This window comes from Homo sapiens, chromosome 7, assembly GCF_000001405.40.
Source record: "Homo sapiens chromosome 7, GRCh38.p14 Primary Assembly".
NCBI classification, from domain to species: Eukaryota; Metazoa; Chordata; class Mammalia; order Primates; family Hominidae; genus Homo; species Homo sapiens.
Window position 1 is genome coordinate 45072435 of NC_000007.14, and position 25265 is coordinate 45097699.

Consider the following 25265-nt stretch of genomic DNA (forward strand, 5'->3'; position numbering starts at 1 on the left):
GACAGCTTTTGCTGGCTCTGGCCATGGGTGAATGTGTACTTCAGCCCAGCGTGCAGCAGGATTTGCATTTGCCAGGATCCCCAGGAGGGGTGTATGTGGGCTCAAGTCTGGGAAGCCCTGCCCTGAGGCACACAGCACATTCCAGAGTGCGGGCAGCTTGATGAAGGACAGCAGGGTCCCTGAAGACCAGGGCTGCCGCTGTCTCCTGTAAATACAGCAGTGGGCTGGACTCAAAATGCCTCCCCACTATGTCCCTGAAAGTCATCTTAGTTTTCTGCATCTTCCTTACAGATGACTCTTCTACAAAAGTGGACATTAAGGAGACCTACGAGGTGGAAGCCAGCACTTTGTGAGTGCACATGCCACCAAGCCCTGCGGTGGGACACGCACCAAATGCGTTGTCTGGTGTTGTCCAGGCTGCAGCCAGTCAGCTCCCCCATCTCAGCTCACCCTCGCTAAGCCATCCCCAGACCCACTGTACCCAGCTTAGTGAATGGCTGAGGCCTGGCTCGCCGCCCTCTCCTCGTAGACTTCTAGAGCCCTTGCTGTCCCTCTTGTCTCTCCCTGCCTACCTTCCCATGGCCTCCCAAGAGTGAGCTTGTAATAGGCATGTTGGATGGAGCTGTTCCCCTGCCCGAGCCTGCCGAGGCGCTGGCCTTCCAGCCCATCTCTGCCACCACCTGGGGCTCTGTAGTAGTTCACCCACTCGCGCTCTCCATTCCTGCCACCTCCCCAACCCTGGCTCCTTCCCCTGCCCAACAATGCTGCCCACTGCCTTGACCTGTGTACTCCCTCTCTTCACTCAGAGCCCAACTCAGAGCCATGCCCCCGGGGAGCCCCAGGACCAGGCCAAGCTGACCACCCTGCATGCCCAGTCAGCTCTCCTCTCATCATCATCATCATCACTTACATTCCTCTGTTCAAGGACAGGGACCCACACACACGGCATGGACTAGGTTTCCTGAAACGTGTGTGGGATGGAGGGTCGGGGAAGCCACCCGCTCACATACCACATTCTTTCGCAGCTGCTTCCCTGAATCTGTGGATGTGGGTGGTGCATCACCCCACAGCAAGACCATCAGTGAGAGCGAGCTGAGCGCCAGCGCCACTGAGCTGCTGCAGGACTACATGCTGACGGTAGGCCTCCGCTGCAGGGACGCTGGGCTGCATGAGGGAGGGGGTGCCCCAGGGAGGATGGGGGGAAGGGGAGGAGGAGGAGGAGCAGTGCAGGGCAGGCTGCAGTGAGTGAGGTCACCTAGAGCACTCTTGGTCAATTTTGCTGACATCACTGCCTTTTCCTGGGGATAGTCTAGGAGAGCATCAGTCAGTGGGGCTGAGTTGGGAGTGCTGTGGCCGTCAGGGCTGGACTGTGGGCCTGTGCTTGGGTCCTGGGGGAGGGGAGGGAACGGTGGCCCCTGCAAGGCCACATGGCCAGACATTTTTATCCTCCCCATCTTATATAGTTCTGTCATTGCAAACTCAAGTCTTCCTGATTTGCCTGTGTGCCTGTGTGTAGCCTAAGGGCACAGGCATTGGCCCCGGGCCAGGTTGCCAACTTCCACCCTGCCCTGCTGGCTCCTGTCCCTCCCATGCACTCTGTGTTCCAGCTCAGGAGAGTGGAGCTGCCCGGGTGCCTTGGTCTCCTCTGGGTGGCCCCGTGCCAGGTCTGGTAGGATGGGGACACATTGTGGTCATTCTGATGCCCCAGCCTGTGCAGAGGTGAAGCCAGAGACAGCTGGTGCTCTGGCTGGGGTTAGTGGCTGTGGCAAGGTGGGCCCGACTGCCGACTCTTGCCTACTGTGCCCAGCCCCCTATCTGGCTCTGCTCTCTTGCAGCTGCGCACCAAGCTGTCATCACAGGAGATCCAGCAGTTTGCAGCACTGCTGCACGAGTACCGCAATGGGGCCTCTATCCACGAGTTCTGCATCAACCTGCGGCAGCTCTACGGGGACAGCCGCAAGTTCCTGCTGCTTGGTGAGTGGGCCCTGGAAAGAGGGTGGCTTGTCCAAACCTGGCTTGGAGAGGCTGATCCCTCCTGGGAATGTGCACACGGACCCCTCAGTGGGTGCAGCAGGGGCTCCATCAGGGATGGGAGATTTGAACCAGAGATGGCATGAGAGCAGAGTCCAGAGATCGGGGAATCTGCTGTGATTAGTCAGAAGGGCTTTTCCCAGGTACTGTTGGGGGCCCACCGACAGGCCTTCATTCTCCTGGGAACTCAAGCTGAGCTGGGTGGGCCCTGCCAGGAAGTAGCAGAGATCCCCCAGGAGCAGGGCTGGGAGTGAACACAACCCTGAGATTTAGGAAAACAGTGCTGGAGGAGCCAGAGAGGCATGGGTTTTGGTGAATGTGTAGGACTTCAAGGCGGAAGGACCAGCGTTTGCCAAGACCCCTAAAATGCTCGGCACATTAGGTCAGTGCGGCTAGAGGGCTGTGTGGTCTGAGCAGCAGAGTTGGATGTTGGCCCCACACCTCTCAGGGGCGGTGACTTAGCTGTGGTTTCCCTCTGCCGACACTTAGAACACAGCAAGTTTGCGGTAATGTGTTGCTAGTAGCCAGTTGAAGGCTTCTGGGTCCTGGCCTGTTTTCCCTGCAAACCAAGGAAGGTGGGTTTGTTAACCATCGTACCGACCTGGCAGTGGCAAACGTGGATTGCCTGCCCAGGGCTCCCCGCTCTTAGGAGCGTGAAGGGCTGGAGGCTGGGGCAGCCTGTCTGTACAATAGGTTCTGTCTAAGCAGTGCCTGCCCCTTCTGTGCTGGGCCCTGCGTTGCCTCCTGGCATGGGACTCTGTCTGCCCCTCCACATCGGGGAGTAGAGATTCTGAGAGACACACTAGGCTTCCCAAATAAGAGGGCAGCCCTCTGAGTTGGGACAGTCACCTAGGTCATGGCAGGGAAACTGGACTTTGGCATGAGGCCTGCCTCTGAGGACTGCACCCTTGTTGCCGGGTGCCAGCAGGTGGCTTTGAGCACTGCTCTGGGCCTCAGCTTTCCCCACTGTAAAATGGGTCCTTTGTGAGGACTAATAGAGAATGAGAGGAGGCCACAGGTTCTTGGCCTGTGCTGGTGCCTTGAGGCCAGGGAGTGTGCATGTGGCAGAGGCAGTAAGCTGTCAGGGCCAGCAGCAGTGTCTGTCAAGAGTTGAGGTTTTAGCCAAACTGTCTGGCCCCAGGAAGCATGATTTCAACCAGGATGCTAGATGCAGTGAGCATGGCATCAGGGTCCCCAAGGCCATGCACCAGGGGCAGCTGTGGCCCTGTCAGGGGGCTTTGAGCCCTGAGAGAAGAGCTGAGTGGGCTGAGCCGAACTGGAGGTGCCATGCTGGGTGTTGTGTGTCTGCAGGTCTGAGGCCCTTCATCCCTGAGAAGGACAGCCAGCACTTCGAGAACTTCCTGGAGACCATTGGCGTGAAGGATGGCCGCGGCATCATCACTGACAGCTTTGGCAGGCACCGGCGGGCCCTGAGCACCACATCCAGTTCCACCACCAATGGGAACAGGGCCACGGGCAGCTCTGATGACCGGTCGGCACCCTCAGAGGGGGATGAGTGGGACCGCATGATCTCGGACATCAGCAGCGACATTGAGGCGCTGGGCTGCAGCATGGACCAGGACTCAGCATGATGGACAGTGGATGGGGGGGCACCCACACCTTCCGCGCAGTCGTCATAGGCCTTCCCAGAAGGAGCTGCCCAGACCTGCGTGTCAGCCCTTGGTGGTGGCCAGGGAGAGGCGCCCGGTGCAGATGGCCCCGGGCGGCCCAGGTCCTCTACTGTGAAGGAGCAGGGAGCTGCCGAGGGACACGAGCCTCAGTGCGGGGTGGAAGGCTCTTTGCCTTGTCCACCAGGGCTCAGCCAAGCCCTGCAGTGTGTCCCCGCTCGGGGAGGGCCCGGCCGAGCGGGCAGGGAGAGCCAGTCCTGTCGGCTGGGCCCTTGGACGGCTGTCAGTTTTGCACATGATGTTCCTATTGTAACTCTCAGAGACCTTAAAAAGAAGTTTACTGCAATGTGAATAATTTAATCTCTGGTTGCCAAGCATGTTTCTGATCCAGTTGGGTGAAAGCCATCGGTGCCAGGAGGGGTGTCCGCTCTAGCCTCTGTCCCTGGGTCCCCATCTGCCCTGCAGCACCTGGGACTCGGCAGTGGTCCCTGGGGGCTGGGGTGGAGGAGGCAACAGGCTCTTGTGCCACAGGAAGGACTTGATTTGGACTTGAGCAGTGTGGATGTGGGGCAGGAGCGGGTGTTCTGAGGCCTTTCGTGGGCAGCGTGTGTGAGGGTAGCGTGTGTGGCATGTGTTGGGGGCACCTTGATCTTTACATCCTGTGCACTGAATCCTTCAAGGTCACTGGCTGTGCCCCGCACCCCCCCTCCCCCCAACCCCATGCTGCAGGTTTTTTCCTCAAGCAGCCTGCACTACCCCGTGGAACAGAAATGCTCTCTGAGATCTCGTCACCTTGGAGCCTGGGGGCTGGGTCTTCAGAGGCCAGTGTGCAACTCTGCCGACCCTCCCTGTGCCGTCATTGTGGGCCTGTCTCCATCCTTGTCCCGTGAGCTCTTCTCCCCAAACCCTGTTGGCCTTGGTCTTGCCTATACCCTTTGGGCCCTTACAAAGCTTCCTTGGATATGGGAAGGGGAGAAGAGGTGACCTGGGTCAGGTTGTCCGGAGCCTCTCCCTCCACCGGAGAGCAGCCACAACCCTGCGGAGACCCCCAAGGGGACAGACATCTAGGAAGGAGACTGGCTGTCACATCTCCCTCCTGCCCAGGCTGGGGGCCTAGCCTTGCTGGATGGAGGGGCTGCATGTCAGGCCCCAGGGATTCTCTGGCCCAGGCTTGGGGAAGCAGGGAGAGCCTCTGGGGCTCCATGGACACCCTGATTGTGTCCAGGCCAAGCCAGAGGATCTGGAGTATCTCAGGCACCTTCCTGAATAAGGTAGACGGGTTTGTATGGTATCACAGCTTCTGAACAGGAAGGGGCCTGGTCGGTGTTTTTTTGTTTGTTTTGTTTTGTTTTTCTCAAGACAGAGTCTCACTCTGTTGCCCAGGTTGGAGTGCAGTGGTGCGGTTTTGGCTCACTGCAACCTACACCTCCTGGGTTCAAGCGATTCTCCTGTCTCAGCCTCCCGAGTAGCTGGGACTACAGGCGCCTGCCACCACGCCCAGCTAATTTTTGTATTTTTAGCAGAGACGGGGTTTCACCATATTGGCCAGGCTGGTCTCAAACTCCTGACTTTGTGATCCGCCTGCCTCCCAAAGTGTTGGGATTACAGGCGTGAGCCACCGCGGCCGGCCCGGTCAGTGTTTTATGGGCGAGTTTTTCCACTGTACTGGGCTGTTGTAGAGCTGCTTACTCATGGGACCCCAGGCCAGGGCAGGCAGCAGGCTCTTTACTGTTGACACTGTCTCTTAAGTTTACATGAAAATGGACATGCCCTGGAAGCATCAGGAGAGGCTGAGGACAAACCACACAGTCTCCTGGGCTCTTGCCCCCTACCAGAGCCCACCCTGTGCCAGAAGGTTCAGTGTCCCCCTTCCATCCCTCTGGTTGAACATGGCCTTGCATGGGCCTTCTGTGTGGAGTGTCAAAGGAACCACATGCTTGCCCCTCCAGGGTCCATCCCAGGTGTGGCCCCCGTGCTGCAGTCGCTGGTCTTTGCTAGCAGAAAGAGTAGAGGACATGGAGCAGATGAAGGGACACCAGAGGGTAATGAGGGGACACCAGAGAGTAATGAAGGGACATCAGAGGGTGGTGACAGGACACCAGAGGGCAGTGAGGGGACACCAGGGAGTAATGGGACATCAGGGAGTGATGGGACATCAGAAGGTGATGAGGGGACACCAGAGGGTGGTGAGGGGACACCAGAGAGTAGTGAGGGGACACCAGAGAGTAATGAGGGGACACTAGAAGGTGAGGGGACACCAGAGGGCGGTGAAGGGACACCAGAGAGTAATGAGGGGCACGAGAGGGTGGTGAGGGGACATCAGAGGGTGATGGGACACCAGAGGGCGATGAGGGGACACCGGAGAGTATTGAGGGGACACCAGAGGGCAGTGAAGGGACGCCAGAGAGTACTGAGGGGACACCAGAGGGTGGTGAGGGGACACCAGAGAGTAATGGGGACACCAGAAGGTGAGGGGACGCCAGAGGGCAGTGAAGGGACACCGGAGAGTATTGGGACACCAGAGGGCAGTGAGGGGACACCAGAGGGCGATGAGGGGACACCAGAGAGTAATGAGGGGACATCAGAGAGTAATGAGGGGACATCAAGGCGGTGAGGGGACACCAGAGAGTAATGGGACATCAGAAGGCGGTGAGGGGACATCAGTAATGAGGGGACGTCAGAAGGCGGTGAGGGGACACCAGAGAGTAATGGGACATCAGAAAGCGGTGAGGGGACACCAGAGAGTAATGGGACATCAGAAGGTGGTGAGGGGACATCAGAAGGCGGTGAGGGGACATCAGAAGGCGGTGAGGGGACACCAGAGAGTAATGGGATATCAGAAGGCGGTGAGGGGACATCAGAAGGCGGTGAGGGGACATCAGAGAGTAATGAGGGGACATCAGAAGGCGGTGAGGGGACACCAGAGAGTAATGAGGGGACATCAGAAGGCAGTGAGGGGACATCAGAGAGTAATGAGGGCACATCAGAAGGTGGTGAGATATCAGAAGGCGGTGAGGGGACACCAGAGAGTAATGAGGGGACATCAGAAGGCGGTGAGGGGACACCAGAGAGTGAGGGGACATCAGAAGGCAGTGAGGGGACATCAGAAGGCGGTGAGGGGACATCAGAGAGTAATGGGACATCAGAAGGCGGTGAGGGGACATCAGAGAGTAATGGGACATCAGAAGGTGGTGAGGGGACATCAGAAGGTGGTGAGGGGACATCAGAAGGCGGTGAGGGGACACCAGAGAGTAATGAGGGGACATCAGAAGGTGGTGAGGGGACATCAGAAGGCGGTGAGGGGACATCAGAAGGCGGTGAGGGGACACCAGAGAGTAATGAGGGGACATCAGAGAGTAATGAGGGGACATCAGAAGGCGGTGAGGAGACATCAGAAGGCAGTGAGGGGACACCAGAGAGTAATGAGGGGACATCAGAAGGTGGTGAGGGGACACCAGAGAGTAATGGGGACATCAGAAGGCGGTGAGGGGACACCAGAGAGTAATGAGGAGACATCAGAAGGCGGTGAGGGGACATCGGAGAGTAATGAGGGGACATCAGAAGGCGGTGAGGGGACACCAGAGAGTAATGAGGGGACATCAGAAGGCGGTGAGGGGACATCAGAAGGTGGTGAGGGGACACCAGAGAGTAATGAGGGGACATCAGAAGGCGGTGAGGGGACATCAGTAATGAGGTGACATCAGAAGGTGAGGGGACATCAGAAGGCGGTGAGGGGACACCAGAGAGTATTGAGACACCAGAGGGTGGTGAGGGGACACCAGAGAGTATTGCGGGGACACCAGAGGGCAGTGAGGGGACACCAGAGAGTAATGAGGGGACACCAGAGAGTATTGGGACATCAGAGAGTATTGGGACACCAGAGAGCAGGGGACACCAGAGGGTGGTGAAGGTACACCGGGGAGTATTGAGGGGACACCAGAGGGCGGTGAGGGGACACCAGAGAGTAATGAGGGGACACCAAAGGGCAGTGAGGGGACACTGGTGAGTATTGAGGTGACACCAGAGAGTAATGAGGGGACATCAGAGGGTGGTGAGGGGACACCAGAGGGAAGTGAGGGGACACAGGGTGATGAAGGGACACAAGAGGGTGATGAGGGGACACCAGAGGGAAGTGAGGGGACACAAGAGGGTGATGAAGGGACACCAGAGGGTGATGAGGGGGCACCAGAGGGCAGTGAGGGGACACCACAGAGTAATGAGTGGACACCACAGGGCAGTAAGGGGACACCAGATGGTGGTGAAGGGACACCAGAGGGAAGTGAAGGGATGCCAGATGGTGATGATGGGACTCCAGAGGGCGAGGAGGAGACACCAGAGGGCAATGAAGGGACACCGATTTATTGAGTAGCAGAGCTGAGGGAAGGCGTAGGATGGCTCCAGCTTCCGGTCAGTGGCTACATGGTCAGTTCCTGCAGAAAGAGATGGTCATGTTGGGGGAAGCACCCCGCAGTGGAGCCAACATCAGGACCTCTCGAGGCCCTTGGGGACAGCTCAGGGGTAGGGAAAGGGGCCAGTGCTCACTCACCATGATGGCGTTGACGATGTCACTGTGGTTGTCTCTCAGAGCCCGCACGGCCTTGGCCCTGGACACATTGGCCTGCGCCATCACCAGCTCAATGTCACGCAGTTCCAGCCCCGCCTCGTCCACCTGGAGTTGGGGGAGCAGGGAAGTGGCTGGAGCTGCTTGAGGTCCCTGGGGCAGAGCCCCCATGTAGCGCCTCCCACCACCCCCTGCGAGGCCCTGGAGCCCCTGCACTTCACCTCTTCCTCCTCCTCCTCTTCCTCTTCCTTGCACTCCAGCCTCACCCGGGGCCTGGGTGCTGACTCAGGGACCAAGGCTGAGGGCTCTGAGGGCACCTTAAACTTCTCAGCTGCGGCTTTGTGCACTTGCTGGGACAGGTCCTCAATCTGCAAAATGGAAGACAGCTGTGTCAGTAGAGCCTGTCCCCCCCTTGTCCCCTATCCCTCGGATCCCCCATTCCACCACAGCCGCCACCCAGACCTTGGCCTCGCCAAAGACCACATAAGTGTCTGAGGCTGGGCTCTTGAAGACATCAGGCTTGGCGATGACAAAGAGGATGTTCTTGGACTTCTGGATGGTGATCCTGGTGACTCCCTGAATCTGCCGCAAGCCCAGCTTTGACATTGCCTGGGAGTAGAGGGCAGAGGGGGGCTCAGACCTGGTGTTGACCCACGTCGGGGGAGGAGAGCAGCACAGTGCCCAGGAAGGCAAAGTCTCCACCGCCAACTTCCCCAAGACCTTGGGCTGGTGGTTGGTCCTTCCCCATGAGCCTCAGTCTATAAGGGCCTTCTCATGACATTCCAGCCTCAGCTGTTTAGGGGAAGGTGTGTGGGTTACTGGCATGGACCCAAAGGTCCCCTGATGGATGGGATTTCATTAGCCATGGAGTGTGAGGGTCTTGGTAAGGACGTTCCCCACACAGATGGTCCCAGGCCTGAGGTCCCAGAGGGAGCCACCAGCCCACCTTTCGGGCCTTCTTCTCACTGCGACTCTGCTTGGCTTTGGCGATGGTCTCCTCACTGCCGCCTGCTGGGGCCTGAGAAAAGGTGAGGGCTGAGCATCCATGGGTGGGGTGTGGGGCCCTCCCAGAGGCCCACCCTCTTCCCTGGACTGGGCACCTGGGCTGGACACTGCACGGTCTGAGGAGCCAAGATGTCCTGCTCGTCCAGCTCGGCTGATGACTCCCCGTGGCTATCCGAATGCTGGCCCGAGCCCAGGGCCCGAGGCGAGTCTGGGGAAGGGGAGAGGTGTGAGGATGGCCTTTTGCTTCTAGGTGGCGGGGAAGGGGGTTCAGGACCCTGGCCCTGCTGCCACATCAGGGCCAGAGGAAGCAGTGCCAGCTCTCCATGGTGGCTGTGGGGTCTGGGCCCCCCACCTCGCCACCTCAGAGGCCCTCCAGCTCAGGACAGCTCTAAGGAGGAGTCCAGTTGACCCAAGCCCCAGGGCACTTCACTCCCACCCTCTGCCTTACCTTCCTCCAGGCTGTCCTCATCCTCTTGCTGCTCGGGGGCTGAGAGCCCTTGAGGGCCAGCTGGGCTCTGGGGCCCAGAGGGAGGAGGCACTTGGCAAGGCGGCAAGATCTGCAAGGCCAGGTCTTTGGCATCCATGGAGGCCACCTTGGGGCTGAGGAGTGGGGAGTGAGGCGAGAGGCTGACTCGCGGCCCAGTCCCCAGAGGCTGTGTGGTTCCTGAGACAGCAGCAGCGGCAGGCTGGACTCCTGCCTGGGGCGGTGGGAGGCCCAGAGAGCCTGGGGGCTCCTCGTCTTCCACAGAGTCTTCCTGGGGGTCCTGGCACAGGCAGGGGGCTGGGGGCTCCAGTGGGGGTAGGGCTGCCCCAGCAAGGGTACCAGGAGCAGAAGGGTCAGGGCCCAGGGGCCTGTCCACGGGCGTGCTGGGCTGACCCTTGGCAAGGTTTTCTGGGGGCTGCAGCAAGGGGGTGCCAAGGACACTGGGTACTTCGTGGGGTTGCTCAACACTGCCCAGACCCAGTACAGGCTCCGGCTGCTGGGAGGTTGGTGCAGACGTGGGGGCAGGCGCGTCAGGGCAGCCTCTGTCCAGACTGGACACAGCCCCTACTGAAGACTCTGGGCAGGAGTCCAGACTGGCCTCTGTGGCCACAGCTGAGGGAAGCGTGGGCTCCGGGGTGGACTTGCCACTCAGGCCTCTTTCCTCCCTGGCTGGGCTCAGGAGCCGGGCCTGGCTGACCTCAGGGCAGGCAGCAGGAGGCGCATCGGGGACCTCCCTTGCACCTCCAAGTGCTGACCTGGGTCCATGTTCCTGTGCCAGTGGCTTCAGGCCTCCTTCCTGCTGGTTCTCAACCTCCAGGGTCTCCTTTTGGGGTGAGTCAGGCTTAGCCCCATCACCTGTGTGCGCTCGCGCTTCCAGACATGCTTCCCGTCCAGGCCTAGAAAGGGCTTCTGCTATTTCCTCCCCAGCACCAGAGGCCGGCTCAGGGAGACTGAGGGCCTCCATGCCCAAAGTGGAATCCGCATCTTCCTGTGCGGCCCAAGGTGTCCCAGCTTCTGCAGCTGGCTGTGGGTCATCCTGTTGGACCTGGTCCAAGGCTGCAGGCTCCGGGACTGTAGGGAGGGCTGCATTCTTCTCCTCAGGTGCTGGCCTGGGGCCTAAGGCCTCACCTACTTCCTGCTGAGCCATGGTGGCCACAGGCTCTGTCCCTGGGGCACAGCCTGCTTCTGCCTGCAAGGTTTGAGGGGTGGCCACAGCCAGAGGCTCTGGACCTGAGGTGGGGCCTGTGTCTTGCAGAGGCAGAGGTGCTGTCATAGCGGAGTCCTGGGGTAAGGTGAGGCCCTCTTCAGCCTGCTGGGACACAGGCGTGGCTGCAGCCACAGGCTTTGGGGCTGACGAGAGATCTGTGTCTTGTAGGGGCAGAGGCGGTGTCATAGCGGAGTCCTGGGGTAAGGTGAGGCCCTCTTCAGCCTGCTGGGACACAGGCGTGGCTGCAGCCACAGGCTTTGGGGCTGACGAGAGATCTGTGTCTTGTAGGGGCAGAGGCGGTGTCATAGCGGAGTCCTGGGGTAAGGTGAGGCCCTCTTCAGCCTGCTGGGACACAATCGTGGCTGCAGCCACAGGCTTTGGGGCTGACGAGAGATCTGTGTCTTGTAGGGGCAGAGGCGGTGTCATAGCGGAGTCCTGGGGTAAGGTGAGGCCCTCTTCAGCCTGCTGGGACACAATCGTGGCTGCAGCCACAGGCTTTGGGGCTGACGAGAGATCTGTGTCTTGTAGGGGCAGAGGCGGTGTCATAGCGGAGTCCTGGGGTAAGGTGAGGCCCTCTTCAGCCTGCTGGGACACAAGCGTGGCTGCAGCCACAGGCTTTGGGGCTGACGAGAGATCTGTGTCTTGTAGGGGCAGAGGCGGTGTCATAGCGGAGTCCTGGGGTAAGGTGAGGCCCTCTTCAGCCTGCTGGGACACAAGCGTGGCTGCAGCCACAGGCTTTGGGGCTGACGAGAGATCTGTGTCTTGTAGGGGCAGAGGCGGTGTCATAGCGGAGTCCTGGGGTAAGGTGAGGCCCTCTTCAGCCTGCTGGGACACAAGCGTGGCTGCAGCCACAGGCTTTGGGGCTGACGAGAGTTCTGTGTCTTGTAGGGGCAGAGGCGGTGTCATAACGGAGTCCTGGGGTAAGGTGAGGCCCTCTTCAGCCTGCTGGGACACAATCGTGGCTGCAGCCACAGGCTTTGGGGCTGATGAGAGATCTGTGTCTTGTAGGGGCAGAGGCGGTGTCATAGCGGAGTCCTGGGGTAAGGTGAGGTCCTCTTTAGCCTGCCTGGGGACAATCGTGGCTGCAGCTACAGGCTTTCTGCCAGAGGGGAGGTCCAGCCCTCCTTCTTCCTTCAAGTTCTGAGGAGAGTCTGGACACAATGTGAGGCTTGTTTCTTCCTGTGGAGTTGGAAGTTTTTCTGCAGTGACAGACTCTTGGCCTAAGATCTCGCTGATGCCCTCCTGGGAGGGCTGAGGCATTGCCATGGCAGCAGATTCTTGTCCAGCGGTGGAGTCTGTTTCTTCCTCCCCAGCCTGTGGGGTCACTCTGGTAGCCACCTCCACCTGGAGGCCTGGGGCTACCTGCAGAGTGTGAGGGGTCACAGTGGCAGTGGACTCCTGGCCTAAAGCAAGGCCCTCTTCTGTTACTTCTGAGATCAATTCCTGTCTCTGGGACAGATAGGCCCCTCTGTCTGAGGTCTGAGGAGCAGCCTCCACGGCCCAGGACACAGTCCCATCCTGAGCCTGCAGCCCCTTGGCCCCACCTCCGCTCTCCTCCTCTGTCTTCTGGACACTGTCCTGGAGCAAAGTGGCCTGGGCATGGGGCTCCCCGCTGTACAGCCTCTCATCATCTGCCTCTGCGTAGGAGGCTGAGTCTGAATCAGAGGAGGCTGCAGAGGTGTCGTCCCGGAAGGCAAAAGCCTCGTCCATGCCCTCCGTGATGGACAGGTCAGACAGTGACTGCAGGAAGGAGGCAGACGTGCTGTCCTCCTCACCCTCCCCAGCCAGGTCCCCACCTGGGTCGGGATCCGCCACAGCCTCCTCTTCTTCTTCCTCTGGGGATAGCGGTGTCACCTCCACTGCCTCCACCTGAAAGATGAGGCTGCCCTGGAAGGGTAGGAGGGCTGCGGGGATCATTGGGTCATTGGCCAGGAAGTCCAGGTCGAAGAAGTGGCCCTCCTGGCCCCAGGAGGAGCTGCTGTCTGCAGAGAGGCTGGACTCAGAGGACGGGGGCTCTGGGGTCCCTGCTGGGTGCAGCTCTCGTTCATCCACCATGGACCCCTGCGGGGACAGGCCCCAGCCTGAGGGGAAGTCCAGCCCTTCAGCCGGAGCCAGCAGGCTGAGGGAACAGGAGGGTGAAGAGGCCCAGCTGTCCCCATCGGCCGTAATGTAGGAGCCCGAGGGTGAGGCGGGGGGCGAGTCCAGCAGCTCATCCCGCAGCTCAGCCTCTGAGTCCCTGGCGTCCCCGTGGGGCCCACAGGCAGGAAGCAGGGCATAGGTGGTCTTGGTGGGGGTGGAGGGAGGCGTGAAGAAGGAATCAGGGTCTGGGGGAGGGGAAGGCACAGAAAGATCACCCTGAGAACACAGCTCGGGGGGTGGGTCTGGGCTTGCGTGCCCACCCTCCTGGTCCCTGAGCGCTGTCCGGGCAGCTCTGGGTGACAGGAGGGCCTGGCACGTCTCCTCTCCCATCACAATCCGGGGCTCCAGGGTGGCCGGGAGAGGAGCCTCCGTGGACAGAGCCTGGGAAGACAGGCCCTCAGGGAGGAGCATGGGGCTTGGGCCGCCCTCCCCTGGGTCCGCCCAGGCCGAGGGTGCCCCACCAGGCCCTGCATCCCAGCTGGCTCCCTCGGGCTGGGGCCGGGCACCCGGCTTGCTGGGCAGGAACGTGAGGGCCAGGTGGCTGGGCCCTGGGGTCAGAGCACAGGGCTCCCGCCGGTCCCCTCCCAGGATGGTGGTGGCAGCGGCCGCATCGCAGGACAGATCTGTGGAGATAGAGAAGATCATGAGGTGCCCCTGGATGCATCTCCCAGGCAAGGGCCAGGCCCGGGGAGATGAATTCCGGCTGCATAGGGCCCAGAGGAAGGTGGATCCAGGAAGGCAGGAGAGAAAAGAGAAGACCCTCTGCACGCTGCGTTTGAGGGAGAACTTCCAGGAGTTTTGACAGCAGAGAGCAGATGCTAGTGGTTTCCTAGAGAGGGGTTTTGAGGGAAGTGTTGCTGGGAGTCATGAACAGACCTGTCTGGCGGCTTTTCTCAAGGACACCTCAGCAAAGAACTAGCATTTCAGCCTCTCTGGGGAGACTGGATTGCAGTTTCCATTCCACAGAATCAGTGTGGTTCAGCTGGGCTCGGTGGGAGGGGCTGGTGGTGGGAATCTGCCAGGCAGTGCCAGTCCCATCCCATGACCTCCCAATAGATGCGCCACATGAGGCAGGTGGCACCAGCACGACGCGCGCAGCTCGAACACTCTGGGCTTCATGCCTCGCTCTGCCTCCTCTCTCTGCTGTCCTTGCTACCTACACTTGAGGCCAACATGTCAGGGTTTCACCAGGCCCCTCTGACCCTGCTCCCCTCCTGCACCCAGGGAGATGGGGAAGCCAGGGGCCACCACACGCAGCCAAGTTTCTGGAGAACAGAGATGAAGTGTCCCGTGGAGGCTTTGCTGGAGCATCTGGCCACAAGGGCAGTGGTGGGCAGGAACGGAGACCATGGAGCCCAGCAAGAGCACAGGACAGCTTCAGAGGGCCAACAGCAGCCTCTGGCTGAGTCCTCTCCTTGGTGGCAGCCACCCCATGGGTGACCACCAGTTCCTTCCCGGGTGCTGGGAGTTCCCACCCTGCCCTGTGGGCCTTCTCTGGGTCCCATGATGCACTCCCCCAACCCGCTGGGCAGGCTTCAGTATGAGGAGGCTCTGGTACTCAGTAAACGTCTGTGAGCTAACACACCTCCAGCTGAGAAAGGAGTCCATAGGAAGTAGCCCTCATGGGTCAGAAAGGACTTAGGGGACTCAGGAAGATGGAAGAAAACCCCTCCGAGGTTGCGGCACACCAGACCGCTATGGTTTTCTGCCTCCTGGACTCTTACTGGCCTGTATTTTATCACAGGCGAGATCACATTGCACATTCAGTTTTGAATCTAGCTATTTTCACCCAACCTAATCTCATAAGCATTTTCCTGTGTGCTCTAAATGCTCATAAGCTTCATTTTAAATGTCTCCATTATGTCCACTCCCTCACTTGGACCTAGGCCAAAGGCACCTCTGTTTGAAGCATCCAATGAAGGCCCTTCAGAGCCCAGGCCAGGTCTTGCCCAAGGTGGGGGAGCGGCGGCACACAGGGGCCAGCTCTCCAGGCTGCAGATGCCTGCCTGGTGGCTCCTGCTCTCCCGCACTCACTGGTGACCAGGACAACATCTCTTGCACCTCAGCTTTCTCATCTACAAAGCAGAGCCAGGATTAGAGTTGAAGCTGAAAGAAGGGGGACCCTGTTGCCAGGCTGCTCCAGCTCCCCTCAGCAGCATCAGAGCCCTGAGCCCTGAACCACCAGCCAAAACTTGTCACCCAAGGGCTTTGCTGCTGGGGTGATGGGACATCCAGGGGGTCCTGAGACAAGGGGGTCCTTTGGGTTCTTGCATGCCTGACACCCAACATCAGGAGTGGGCGTGGCTGGTGGGGCATCACTGGGTGCCCTGAAGCTGGGCTCTTGGTTCTGGCCCCTGGTGTGGCCCCCAGGGCAGGGGAACGGCTGAGCTGTTGGGATGGAGCAGAAACCAAAGGCCAAAGGTTTTTATAACTCATTCAAGGTCACCAAGCAAGCCAGAACAGAGCCAGCACAAGACCCTGGGGCTGGGAAGTCTGGGCCTGCACTCCCTGCCTCCCACCTAGAGCAGAGGCAGCAGCCTGTGTCACCCCAAACCAGGCCCCAGGCCCCAGCAGTGGTCCCATCTCTGGGTGACTTCTTGCCCACAGCAAGGTGCCCTTGGCCCTACCCACACATGGCTGACCTCCACGCCAGGACTGTCCAGGCTCGGCTCTTTCTAGGCCCCGTAGACCCCATCAGCCTCCACCAGCATTTGTTGACCCAGCCTAAGGACAGGTGGTCTGCACACCCAGGGCCATTGCTAATCAGGCCACCTCCCCCAAGGCCTTCCACCTTCCAGACCCAACTTAGGCTTTATTCCACCACCTGGCCCTCCATCCGGGCTTCCTAGGCTCTGGCCAGTCCTGCTCCTCCCTCCAGAGCCATGACCAGTCGCCGGCCCAGGACAGACCGGGTGCAACTGAGGACCCTCCCGGTGGTCACCTGATCGTACTGGGGGTATCAGCCGGACACCCCGCCTCCAGAACCCGCTGCCTCTGTCCAGAGCGGCCCAGCCCCAGCAGGCTGGCAGCTCGGTGCAAACAACGGGATGCAGCGGGCGGGATGCGAGCCCCACGATCCCTGGGTCGGAAGCCAAGGGCTTAAGCCCCCACGTTCTTTCTGGCTCGCGGCGGGCACTTCGTGCGCCCCACCTTCCCCGCAGTTCTGAGAGAGGCGGTAGCAGGGTTCAGATGGAGGGAAGGACAGGGCGCGGAAAGGGGAGGGGACTCGAGGGGGGCCAGGGGGATGGGGGAGAGGGGTGAAAGGTGAGCGATGGAAAGAGAACCCGGGCTGGAGAGGGGAGAGGCTGAAGGCAGGGAAAGAGTGGCCACGGCCTCACCTGTGCGGGGCCCGGGTCGGTCCGCCTCGGGCAGCAGCAGCTCGGCGCGGGCAGCCTCCCCAGGCATGGCCTGGCCGTGCGCCCGCCCGTCCCTCAGTCCTTCCGACCCTCCGTCAGTCCGTGCCGCCGCCCCGCCGAGCCTGCGCGGCCACCGCCCCTCGGCCGGGCGGTGGGGGCAGTGGGTGACGTCAGGCCGCCCCGCCCGCCTGTCCCAGCGAGTGAGCGTGCGCGGGCTCGCCAGGCACTGCGGAGGGCGTAGGGGGGGCTCCCTCCCCGCCCCCACCCCACCCGGCTGTGGCCTCCCTCTCGCTGTGGGCGGTTTCGTGGGGGAGCGGGGGTGGGCGCCTGCGCCCGGTCCCACCCTTTCCACAGCATTTACGAGGGAGGGTTTCAGGGCCAATTGGAAGCTGGGTTGCCTCAGGGTGGCATTCGCCCGTGGCCAGGAAGAGGCGGGGACGCCCCTAGAACCCTGGTTGTGGGAGGCTGGGGAGGTGGTTGGGATTCTGGGATGCTCGGAGCGCTTTGGGTGGAGTTGGCGGCGCAGCCTCCTTCCCCGCTGACCAAGCAGAGGGTGCAGGGCCTGGGGAGGGAGGGGGCCCCGCCCAGCCCGATGCCTCCATGCAAAAGGTGAGCTGGAGCTGCAGCTCTGGAGTGATTGGCTGGTCCTGGCAGTCGTCGGTCTCCGTGGCAACCGCCTCCTGTCTCCATGGCAACCAGGGATGGAGCCGACGAGAGCGCACCAGGGAAGGCGACCCGGATGGGTCGGTCTCCAGGTCTCTAGGCAACTCGGTGATCTGTCCTATCATCTCCCCTCCACCCCCACACTAGGCAGTAGAAGGAAAAGGAAGAAAGTGTTTCCCTCTATTCCTGGCAGCACCCTCTGCCACACCTCCCAGGAGGAAGCCCGCCCCGTGAATTTCCTGAAATGCCTCTTGCTTTCACACAGGCTACTGCGCCACCCAGATTCACTGAGCACCCCTCCTCCCCCGTGCCAGGCACCAGGGAGACAGATGAATGAGACATTGTCATCACCCCTGACTGGGGTGGGGGGAATCAGAGTAGCCATTGTCACAGGCAGGGAGGGAGGTTTCAACATCCTCAGTCTTCTGTGGGTTCTAACTTTGAGCTCATGAAGCCAGGGGCTGCCCTCTGACTCCCCCAGACCTGCCTCAAGGCTCAGTGCTACACACCTGGCTGCCTGCTGGGCATCTCTCCCCGCTGTACCCCAGGAGTCAGACACACCACACCATTAGAATTAACATCAACTTCAAACAATCTCTTCCAGAAAACAAAAGAGAAGGGGACACTTCCTAACTCATTTTATAAGGCAAGAAATATCCTGATGTCAAAACTAACAATGTGTCGCCAGGCGCGGAGGCTCACGCCTGTAATCCCAGCACTTTGGGAGGCCGAGGCTGGCGGATCACGAGGTCAGGAGATCGAGGCCATTCTGGCTAACGTGGTGAAACCCCGTCTCTACTAAAAATACAGAAAATGAGCCGGGAGTGGTAGCGGGCTCCTGTAGTCCCAGCTACTCAGGAGGCTGAGGCAGGAGAATGGCGTTAACCCGGGAAGCGGAGGTTGCAGTGAGCCGAGATCGCACCACTGCACTCCAGCCTGGGCGACAGAGCGAGACTCCGTCTCAAAAAAAAAAAAAAAAAAAAAAAAACTAACAAAGTGTCAATACACCCCAAGACCCCCAAAACGAAAACTGCAGACCAGCATCTCTCATGAATTCAGGCACAAAAATTCTCAATATTGGCAAATCAAATATAATGATGTATAAAAAAAATACACCATGACCAAGTGGAATTTATTCCACGTATGCAAGGCTGGTTTGACAGTTGAAAATCAATCAACAATACTCCAGAACACCAACAGGCTAAAGAAGAAAAATTTTGGTATCAGTTGACACAGAAAATGTGTTTGACATAACCAACATCATTCATGATTTAAAAAAAAACACTTTCAGCAAGTTAAAAATAAACTTGATAAAGATCTTATATAAAAAACTTATACAGCTAACATCATACTTAATGGTGAAAGACTGAATGCTTTTTAAGATTGGGAACAAGGCAAGGGTGTCCGCACTCACCACTCTTTTCAACATATTATTGGAATTTCTAAACCTTGCAATAAAGCAAGAAGAAATAAAAGGCAGATTGACTTCCAGAATGAAAGCATGGGGAGTTCTGCTGAGCAGCTCCCCAGTGAAACTGGTAAAAATTATTATTATTAATTTTAATTTTTTAATTTGAGATGGAGTCTTGCTCTTTTGACCAGTCTGTAGTGCAGTGGCATGATCTCGGCTCACTGCAACCTCTGTCTTCCGGGTTCAAGCGATCCTACTGTCTCAGCCTCCCGAGCAGCTGGGACTACAGGTCCCACCATGCCTGGCTAATTTTTGTATTTTTAGTAGAGACGGGGTTTCACCCTGTTGGCCAGGCTGGTCTTGAACTCCTGACCTCGTGATCCACCCACCTTGGCCTCCCAAAGTGTTGGAATTACAGGTGTGAGCCACCACACCCAGCCTGGTAAAAATTATTAAAAAAAAAAAAAAACAAACTGAGTTGAAAGGTCAGCAAGCCAGGCGTGGTGGCTCATGCCTGTAATCCCAGCACTTCAGGAGGCTGAGGTGGGCAGATCATGAGGTCAAGAAATCAAGACCTTCCTGGCCAACATGGTGAAACCCTGTCTCTACTAAAAATACAAAAATTAGCCGGGCGTGATGGTGCATGCCTGTAGTCCCAGCTACTCGGGAGGCTGAGGCAGGATAATTGCTTGAACCTGAGAGGCATAGGTTGCAGTGAGCTGAGATCGTGCCACTGCACTCCAGCCTGGTGACAGAGTGAGACTCCGTCTTGGGAAAAAAAAAAAAAAAGAAAGGGCCCAACAAAATAAAAGTGAAAGAGAGAACAAATTAAAGCTTCTGGAAATGGTCTGAAGGGCAAACAGCAAATGAAGAAACATCTGTTCAAGGCTGGATGTGGTGGCTCACGCCTGTAATCCCAGCATTTTGGGAGGCCAAGGTGGGCGGATCACTTGAGATCAGGAGTTCGAGACCAGCCTGGCTAACATGGTGAAAATCCATCTCTACTTAAAAAAAATACAAAAATTAGTTGGGTATGGTGATGCACACCTGTAATCCTACCTACTAGGGAGGCTGAGGCAGGAGAATTGCTTGAACCCTGGAGGCGGAGGTTCGTTGCAGTGAGCCGAGATCCTGCCACTGCACTCCAGCCTGGGTGATGGAGTGAGACTCTGTTTCAAAAAAAAAAAAGAAAGAAACATCTATTCAAGAAAATCTATGAGAATTTAGTAAGAAAGGCGAGAGTCTGTGGTATTTGAATCGAGACAACTCACTCCAGCAAAGGGAGGTGGACTCCACACCAGACTGGTGTTGCCAAGAACACAGGCTTCTTTTCTTCCATCTCCCGGTCAGAGGGCTTTCTTACTGGGAGGACGGAGTACTTCAGCATATCTCATCCTGCTCCCAGCTGCCTGTTGTGGAAGTAAGTCCTGGGTGAGTCTGGTTGAGGTGGGGCTCCCTTCTTCCACTTAGCCCCCACTTGTGGAAAGTGGACTCTACTTCGGGTGTGGCATGCTGAGAATACTGGGGTCCTGACAGCCCTTCTCACCGCTTATGAGGTGAGAGTTCCATGCCAGGAGAGGCTGCTGCCTCCCTTCCACTGACTGCTCAGCTCCTAGAGTGGGAGTGTGACTCAGAAGTTTGCCACTGAGCTAAGAGATTTTGCCTGGAGGGGAGAGGCAGGTTGTAAAACAGATAGCCCATGATCTCTTCCCAGAGGAAATGACCTTACTTGCAAGGCAACATAGGAAGTTTAAACCCAAGGGTATTCTCAACAGCAGTAGAGGTTATGGTGAAAGGCAACTGGAAGGAGATTCATGGATCTAATGAAGATACAGCCTAGGCTGGAGGTTGGCTAGTTTGCAGGAGAAAATGGGGTAATAAGACACCTGGGTGGAGCCCTACTGGGATTAAAGAAAATGTTAAACACTGGCCTCTGAAACTATTCTAGCTAAGAGGCCACAATTTGGATGAGTTTGCAGAGGAATTTCTGCCCAGAGTATTGTCGAAAACAATAGAGCAATCAGTGGAGTTTAGGAGTGGCAATTAGTGGAGTTTAACAGCTGGGCATGGTTAGGAAAAGAGAGTAGGAGAGCCTTACCAGAACCACTCTCATTCCAGGGTGACTGTGGGCATACACATAGCTGCACCTCCCTGAAGAGGACCATCAGAGGCGGAACATTGTAGGGGAGCGCGAAAGACCTCACCAAAAATAATCCAGCTAGTCACTAAGCAAATAAACAAGCAAACAGCAATACAAGCTCCAGAAGGGAGGGGGTTTGGACCTGTACCCAGAGTTGCTATTGGGTTACTGTTCAATTATTTATTTAATGTTATTAAAATGTCCACTTTCCAACAAAAAATTGGCAAAGAAATGAAAGTATGACTTGTATACCAGAAAAATAAAAAAGGCAGGAACAGAACCTGCCTGTGTAAGCAACAAGATTTTAACAGAAAAATATTTCAAAATAACCACTACGAATATGTTCGTAGAATAAGGGAAAGTATGATTAAAGAAGTAATGGAAGGTATATGATGATATTCCATCAAATAGAGAATATCAGCAAAGAGATAGAAATTATTTTTTTAATTAAAAAAAAATTTTTTTTGAGACAGGCTGTCACTCTGTTGCCCCAGCCGGAGTGCGGTGGTGTGATCATGGCTCATTGCAGCCTCCACCTCTGGGGCTCAGGTGATCTTCCCACTTCAGCCTCCTGAATAGTTGAGGTATGTGCCACCACACCCAGCTAATTTTAAAATTTTTTTGTAGAGACGAGGTCTCACCATGTTGCCCAGGCTGGATATAAATTTTTTAAAAATGCAAATTATGGAGTTGAAAAGTAAAATATCTGAAAGAAAAAATTCACAAGAGGGCTGAACAGTAGATTTCAGTGGGCGAAGAAAGAATTAGTGAACTTGATAGAGATTAGAGATTGATGGAGATTATACAAACTGAATAACAGAAAAAAAAGGAAAAATGAACAGAAACTCCAGAGAATGTGAACACTATTAAGCACACCCACATACACATAATGGGAATACCAAAAGGAGAGAAAAGAAAAAGGAGAAAGAAAAATATATGAAATAGTAATGACTGAAAACTTCTCAAATTTACTGAAGAACAATAATCTACACAGCCACAAAGTTCAATGAACTAAAAAAGAATATATGAAAATAGACCCACATGCCTGTAATCCCAGCATTTTGGGAAGCTGAGGTGGGTGGATCACCTGAGGTCAGGAGTTCAAGACCAGCCTGGCCAACACGGCAAAACCCCATCTCTACTAAAAAATACAAAAATTAGCCAAGCGTGGTGGTGGGTGCCTGTAATCCCATCTACTCAGGAGGCTGAGGCAGGGAGAATTGCTTGAACCCAGGTGGCAGAGGTTGCAGTGAGCCAAGATCAGGCAACTGCACTCCAGCCTGGGTGACACAGCAAGACTCCATCTCAAAAAAAGAAAAAGAAAATAGACCCACAGACACATTATAATCAGACACATTATAATAGTTCAGCAAGGTTGCAGGATTCAAAATCCATATATAAAAATCAATTGTTTTTCTGTAAACTTGCAATGAAAATCCAACATTGAGATTATGAAAATTCCAGGAGCCAGGCATGATGGTGCACACCTGTATCCCAGCTACTTGGGTGGCTGAGGCAGAAGGATTGCTTGAGCCCAGGAGTTTGAGGCCACCCTGGCCAACACAGCAAGGCCCTGTTTCTAAAAATAAAAAAATAAGCAAACAATTCCATTCAAACTGGCATTAAAAAAATAACATACTCAGGAATAAATTTAACAAAAGTAGTTCAAAACTAATACTCTGGAAACTCCAAAACAATGTTGAAAGAATTAAGGAATATCTAAATAAATATGAAAGTATCCCATGTTCATGGATCAGAAGACTTAACATTCACATGGTAAAAATCCCCAAGATCTAAAGATCCAACCCAATCCCTATCAGAGTCCCAACTAACTTCATTGTAGAAATGGATGAGTTAATTCTAAAAATCACATGGAATTGCAAGGGACCTAGAGTAGCCAAACAATCTTGAAAACAAAAACCACCTCCCAATTTCAGTACTTAGTACAAAGCAACAGCAATCAAGAGATAGTGTGCTACTGGCAGAAGGATAGACATAAACATAAATGGAATAGAACTGAGAGCCCAGAAGCAGACTGATTTTTGACAAGGCTATCAAGATCATTGAAAGGGGTAGGGGGAAAGAACAGTCTTTTCAACAAATGGTGCTGGGACAAAAGGATAGCCACATGCAAAATAAAGCTGACACTTACTTCACACCATGCTACCGTTTGAATATGCCCTCTTAAACTCATGTTGAAATTTAACTGCATTGCAACAGTATTAAGAGGTAAGACACCTTTAAGAGGCATTTAGACCATGAGGTCTTGGCTATCATTAATGCTGTTAACATGGGATGGTTTAGATTCTGAAGGGTGGGCCCCTGATAAAAGAATAAATTTGGCCTCATTTTCTCTGTCTTGTGCATGCTATCTCACTGTGTGATGCCTTCTGCTATAGGATGACACTCACTAGATGCTGGTGCCATGCTCTTAGACTTCCCAGCCTCCAGAACCATGAACCACATAAAATTCTTTTCTTTTTTTTTTTGAGACACAGTCTCACTCTGTCACCCAGGCTGGAGTGCAGTGGCGTGATCTTGGCTCACTGCAACCTCCACCTCCTGGGTTCAAGTGATTCTCCTGCCTCATCCTCCTGAGTAGCTGGGATTACAGGCACTTGCCACCATGCCTGGCTAATTTTTGTACTTTTAATAGAGACAGGGTTTCACCATGTTGGTCAGGCTGGTCTTGAACTCCTGACCTCATGATCTGCCCAACTTGGTCTCCCAAAGTGCTGGGATTACAGGCATGAGCCACCATGCCTGGCCAAGTTCTGTTCTTTATAAATTACTCAGTTTGCAGTATTCTGTTGTAGCAGCATGATATAGTCTGGTATCTGTCTCCACCCAAATCTCAGTTGAATTGTAATCCCCAATGCTGGAGGTGGGGCCTGGTGGGAGGTGTTTGGATCATGGGGACGGACCCCTCATGGTTTGGTGCTGTCTTTGAGACAGTGAGTTCTCCTGAGATTTGGTCTTTTTTGAGACTGAGTCTTGCTCTGTTGCCAGGCTGGAGTGCAGTGGTGTGACCTTGGCTCACTGCAACCTCTGCCTCCCAGATTCGAGCAATTCCCATGCCTCAGGCTCCTGAGTAGCTGAGACTACAGGCATGCACCACTAGGCCCAGCTAATTTTTTTTTTTTTTTGTATTTTAGTAGAGATGGGGTTTCACCATGTTGGCCAGGATGGTCTTGATCTCCTGACCTCGTGATCCGCCCGCCTCGGCCTCCCAAAGTGCTGGGATTACAGGCATAAGCCACCGCGCCCGACCAAGATTTGGTCATTTAAAAGTGTGTGGCATCTCCCCACTCTACACACTCTCTCTCTTGCTCCTGCTTCACCATGTGACATGCCTGTTCCCCCTTTGCCTTCCTACCACGATGGGGAGCCTCCTGAGGCCTCCCCAGAAACAGATCCCACTATGCTTCGTGTACAGCTTGCAGAACCCCATGCCAATTAAACCTCTTTTCTTATAAATTACCCAGTGCACACACATACACACACACCTTTGCAGCAAGATGAATGGAGCTAGAGGCCATTATCTTGTGAAATAACTGAGAAACTGAAAATCAAATATCGCATGTTCTCACTTATAAATGAGAGCTAAACAATGGAGGGGTACACATGGACATAAAGATGGAAATAATAGACACTGGAGACTCCAAATGTGGGGAGGGTGGGAGACAAGGGTTGAAAAACTACCACTGGGTACTATGTTCATTACGTGGGTAATGGGTTCATTAGAAGCCCAAACCTCAGCATGATATAGTATACCCATGTAACAAACCTGCACCTAGTGTACTCCCTAAATCTATTTTTTTTTTTTTTTTTTTTTTGAGACAGTCTGCTTCTGTTGCCCAGGCTGGAGTGCAGTGGCACGATCTCAGCTCACTGCAAGCTCCACCTCCCAGGTTCATGCCATTCTCCTGCCTCAGCCTCCCAAGCAGTTGGGACTACGGGCACCTGCCACCACGCCCGGCCAATTTTTTTGTATTTTTAGTAGAGATGGTGTTTCACTGTGTTGGCCAGGATGGTCTCAATCTCCTGACCTCATGACCCGCCCACCTTGGCCTCCCAAAGTGCTGGGATTACAGGTGTGAGCCCCCGTGCCCGGCCACTCCCTGAATCTTAAAAAAGATATTCTTCCAAAAGACATGCAAATGGCCAAATAAGTAAATGAAAAATGCTGAAAACCATTAGTTATTAGGGAAATAACAAAAACCACAATGAGAAATCACTTTATACGCACTCACATGGCTAAAATAAAACTCAAATTACAAGTGTCATTGAGGATGTAGAGAGATCTGAAACCTTACACACTGCTGGTGGGAATGTAAAACAGTCTAGCAGTTCCTTAAACGACTAAACATAGTTACCATAGACCCAGCAATTCCACTCCTAGGTATATAACCAAGAGAAAAATGAAAACATACATTTATACTCAAACTTGTACAGGAATATTTATAGCAGCATTATTCATGTATTAGTCCATTTTGCATTGCTATAGAAGAATATCTGAGATGGTAATTTATAAAGAAGTTTATTTGGCTCACAGTTCTGCAGGCTGTACAAGCATGGTACTGACATCTGCTTGGCTCCTGGGAAGGCCTTAGGAAGCTTTTACTCATGACAGAAGGTGA

The 25265-nt window shown here is 55.5% G+C and overlaps 2 protein-coding genes across 14 annotated transcripts in view, besides 4 other annotated features; one reads left to right on the forward strand and one right to left on the reverse strand.

Annotated features, from left to right (window-relative positions):
• Positions 1–4036, forward strand: part of CCM2 (CCM2 scaffold protein) — a 76725-nt gene extending 72689 nt beyond the window's left edge. For 6 of the 12 annotated variants that reach the window (NR_030770.2, NM_001363458.2, NM_031443.4 and 3 more), the window contains 4 exons: positions 292–349; positions 1026–1137; positions 1836–1974; positions 3343–4019. Coding sequence is in view for 11 of the 12 variants with exons in the window: in NM_001363458.2 (NP_001350387.1) it covers positions 292–349; positions 1026–1137; positions 1836–1974; positions 3343–3623 (590 nt within the window). In the remaining variant the exon portion in view is untranslated. Of the gene's footprint in view, positions 1–291; positions 350–1025; positions 1138–1835; positions 1975–3342 lie in introns of those variants that run through there. The other 6 variants (XM_011515561.3, NM_001029835.2, XM_006715786.4 and 3 more) reach the window with 2 other exon arrangements.
• Positions 54–713: an enhancer, noted in NCBI's record as "H3K27ac-H3K4me1 hESC enhancer chr7:45112087-45112746 (GRCh37/hg19 assembly coordinates)". NCBI's record gives its function as "activates a minimal SCP1, AML or CMV promoter by ChIP-STARR-seq in primed H9 embryonic stem cells {active_cell/tissue: H9 hESC(primed)}" and the evidence as "EXISTENCE:reporter gene assay evidence [ECO:0000049][PMID:30033119]".
• Positions 714–1373: an enhancer, noted in NCBI's record as "H3K27ac-H3K4me1 hESC enhancer chr7:45112747-45113406 (GRCh37/hg19 assembly coordinates)". NCBI's record gives its function as "activates a minimal SCP1, AML or CMV promoter by ChIP-STARR-seq in primed H9 embryonic stem cells {active_cell/tissue: H9 hESC(primed)}" and the evidence as "EXISTENCE:reporter gene assay evidence [ECO:0000049][PMID:30033119]".
• Positions 1971–2140: an enhancer, noted in NCBI's record as "experimental_99227 CRE fragment used in MPRA reporter constructs". NCBI's record gives its function as "activates a minimal promoter by MPRAs in K562 erythroleukemia cells, with activity observed for the non-introgressed 7:45114089 or rs2289370 variant allele {active_cell/tissue: K562}" and the evidence as "EXISTENCE:reporter gene assay evidence [ECO:0000049][PMID:34662402]".
• Position 2056: a transcriptional cis regulatory region, noted in NCBI's record as "Neanderthal adaptively introgressed variant 7:45114089 (GRCh37/hg19 assembly coordinates) or rs2289370 in the experimental_99227 CRE". NCBI's record gives its function as "modulates activity of the experimental_99227 enhancer by MPRAs in K562 erythroleukemia cells {active_cell/tissue: K562}" and the evidence as "EXISTENCE:reporter gene assay evidence [ECO:0000049][PMID:34662402]".
• Positions 8003–16535, reverse strand: NACAD (NAC alpha domain containing). 2 transcript variants are annotated; one of them, XM_006715674.4, is made up of 9 exons: positions 16394–16535; positions 10465–13678; positions 9674–9825; positions 9321–9433; positions 9167–9238; positions 8683–8829; positions 8442–8588; positions 8206–8328; positions 8003–8089 (listed from the first exon to the last, which is right to left on the reverse strand). In XM_006715674.4, exons 1-9 carry the CDS (start codon positions 16458–16460, stop codon positions 8075–8077), a joined length of 4050 nt encoding a protein of 1349 aa, XP_006715737.1. In that variant the 5' UTR covers positions 16461–16535; the 3' UTR covers positions 8003–8074. The 2 variants fall into 2 exon arrangements, with proteins under 2 accessions (XP_006715737.1, NP_001139806.1); NM_001146334.2 differs by having other exon boundaries at positions 9674–13678.
• Positions 16536–25265: the final 8730 nt, after the last annotated feature.

Excerpts from the sequence above, each read along its gene's own strand:
- NACAD (NM_001146334.2), bottom strand. The coding sequence starts at position 16,460 with ATGCCTGGGGAGGCTGCCCGCGCCGAGCTGCTGCTGCCCGAGGCGGAC. Across the intron at positions 9,239-9,320 it reads CCGTGCAGTGTCCAGCCCAG|GCCCCAGCAGGCGGCAGTGA; the intron begins GTGCCCAGTCCA and ends ACCTTTTCTCAG. Across the intron at positions 8,589-8,682 it reads TGGTCTTTGGCGAGGCCAAG|ATTGAGGACCTGTCCCAGCA; the intron begins GTCTGGGTGGCG and ends TCCATTTTGCAG.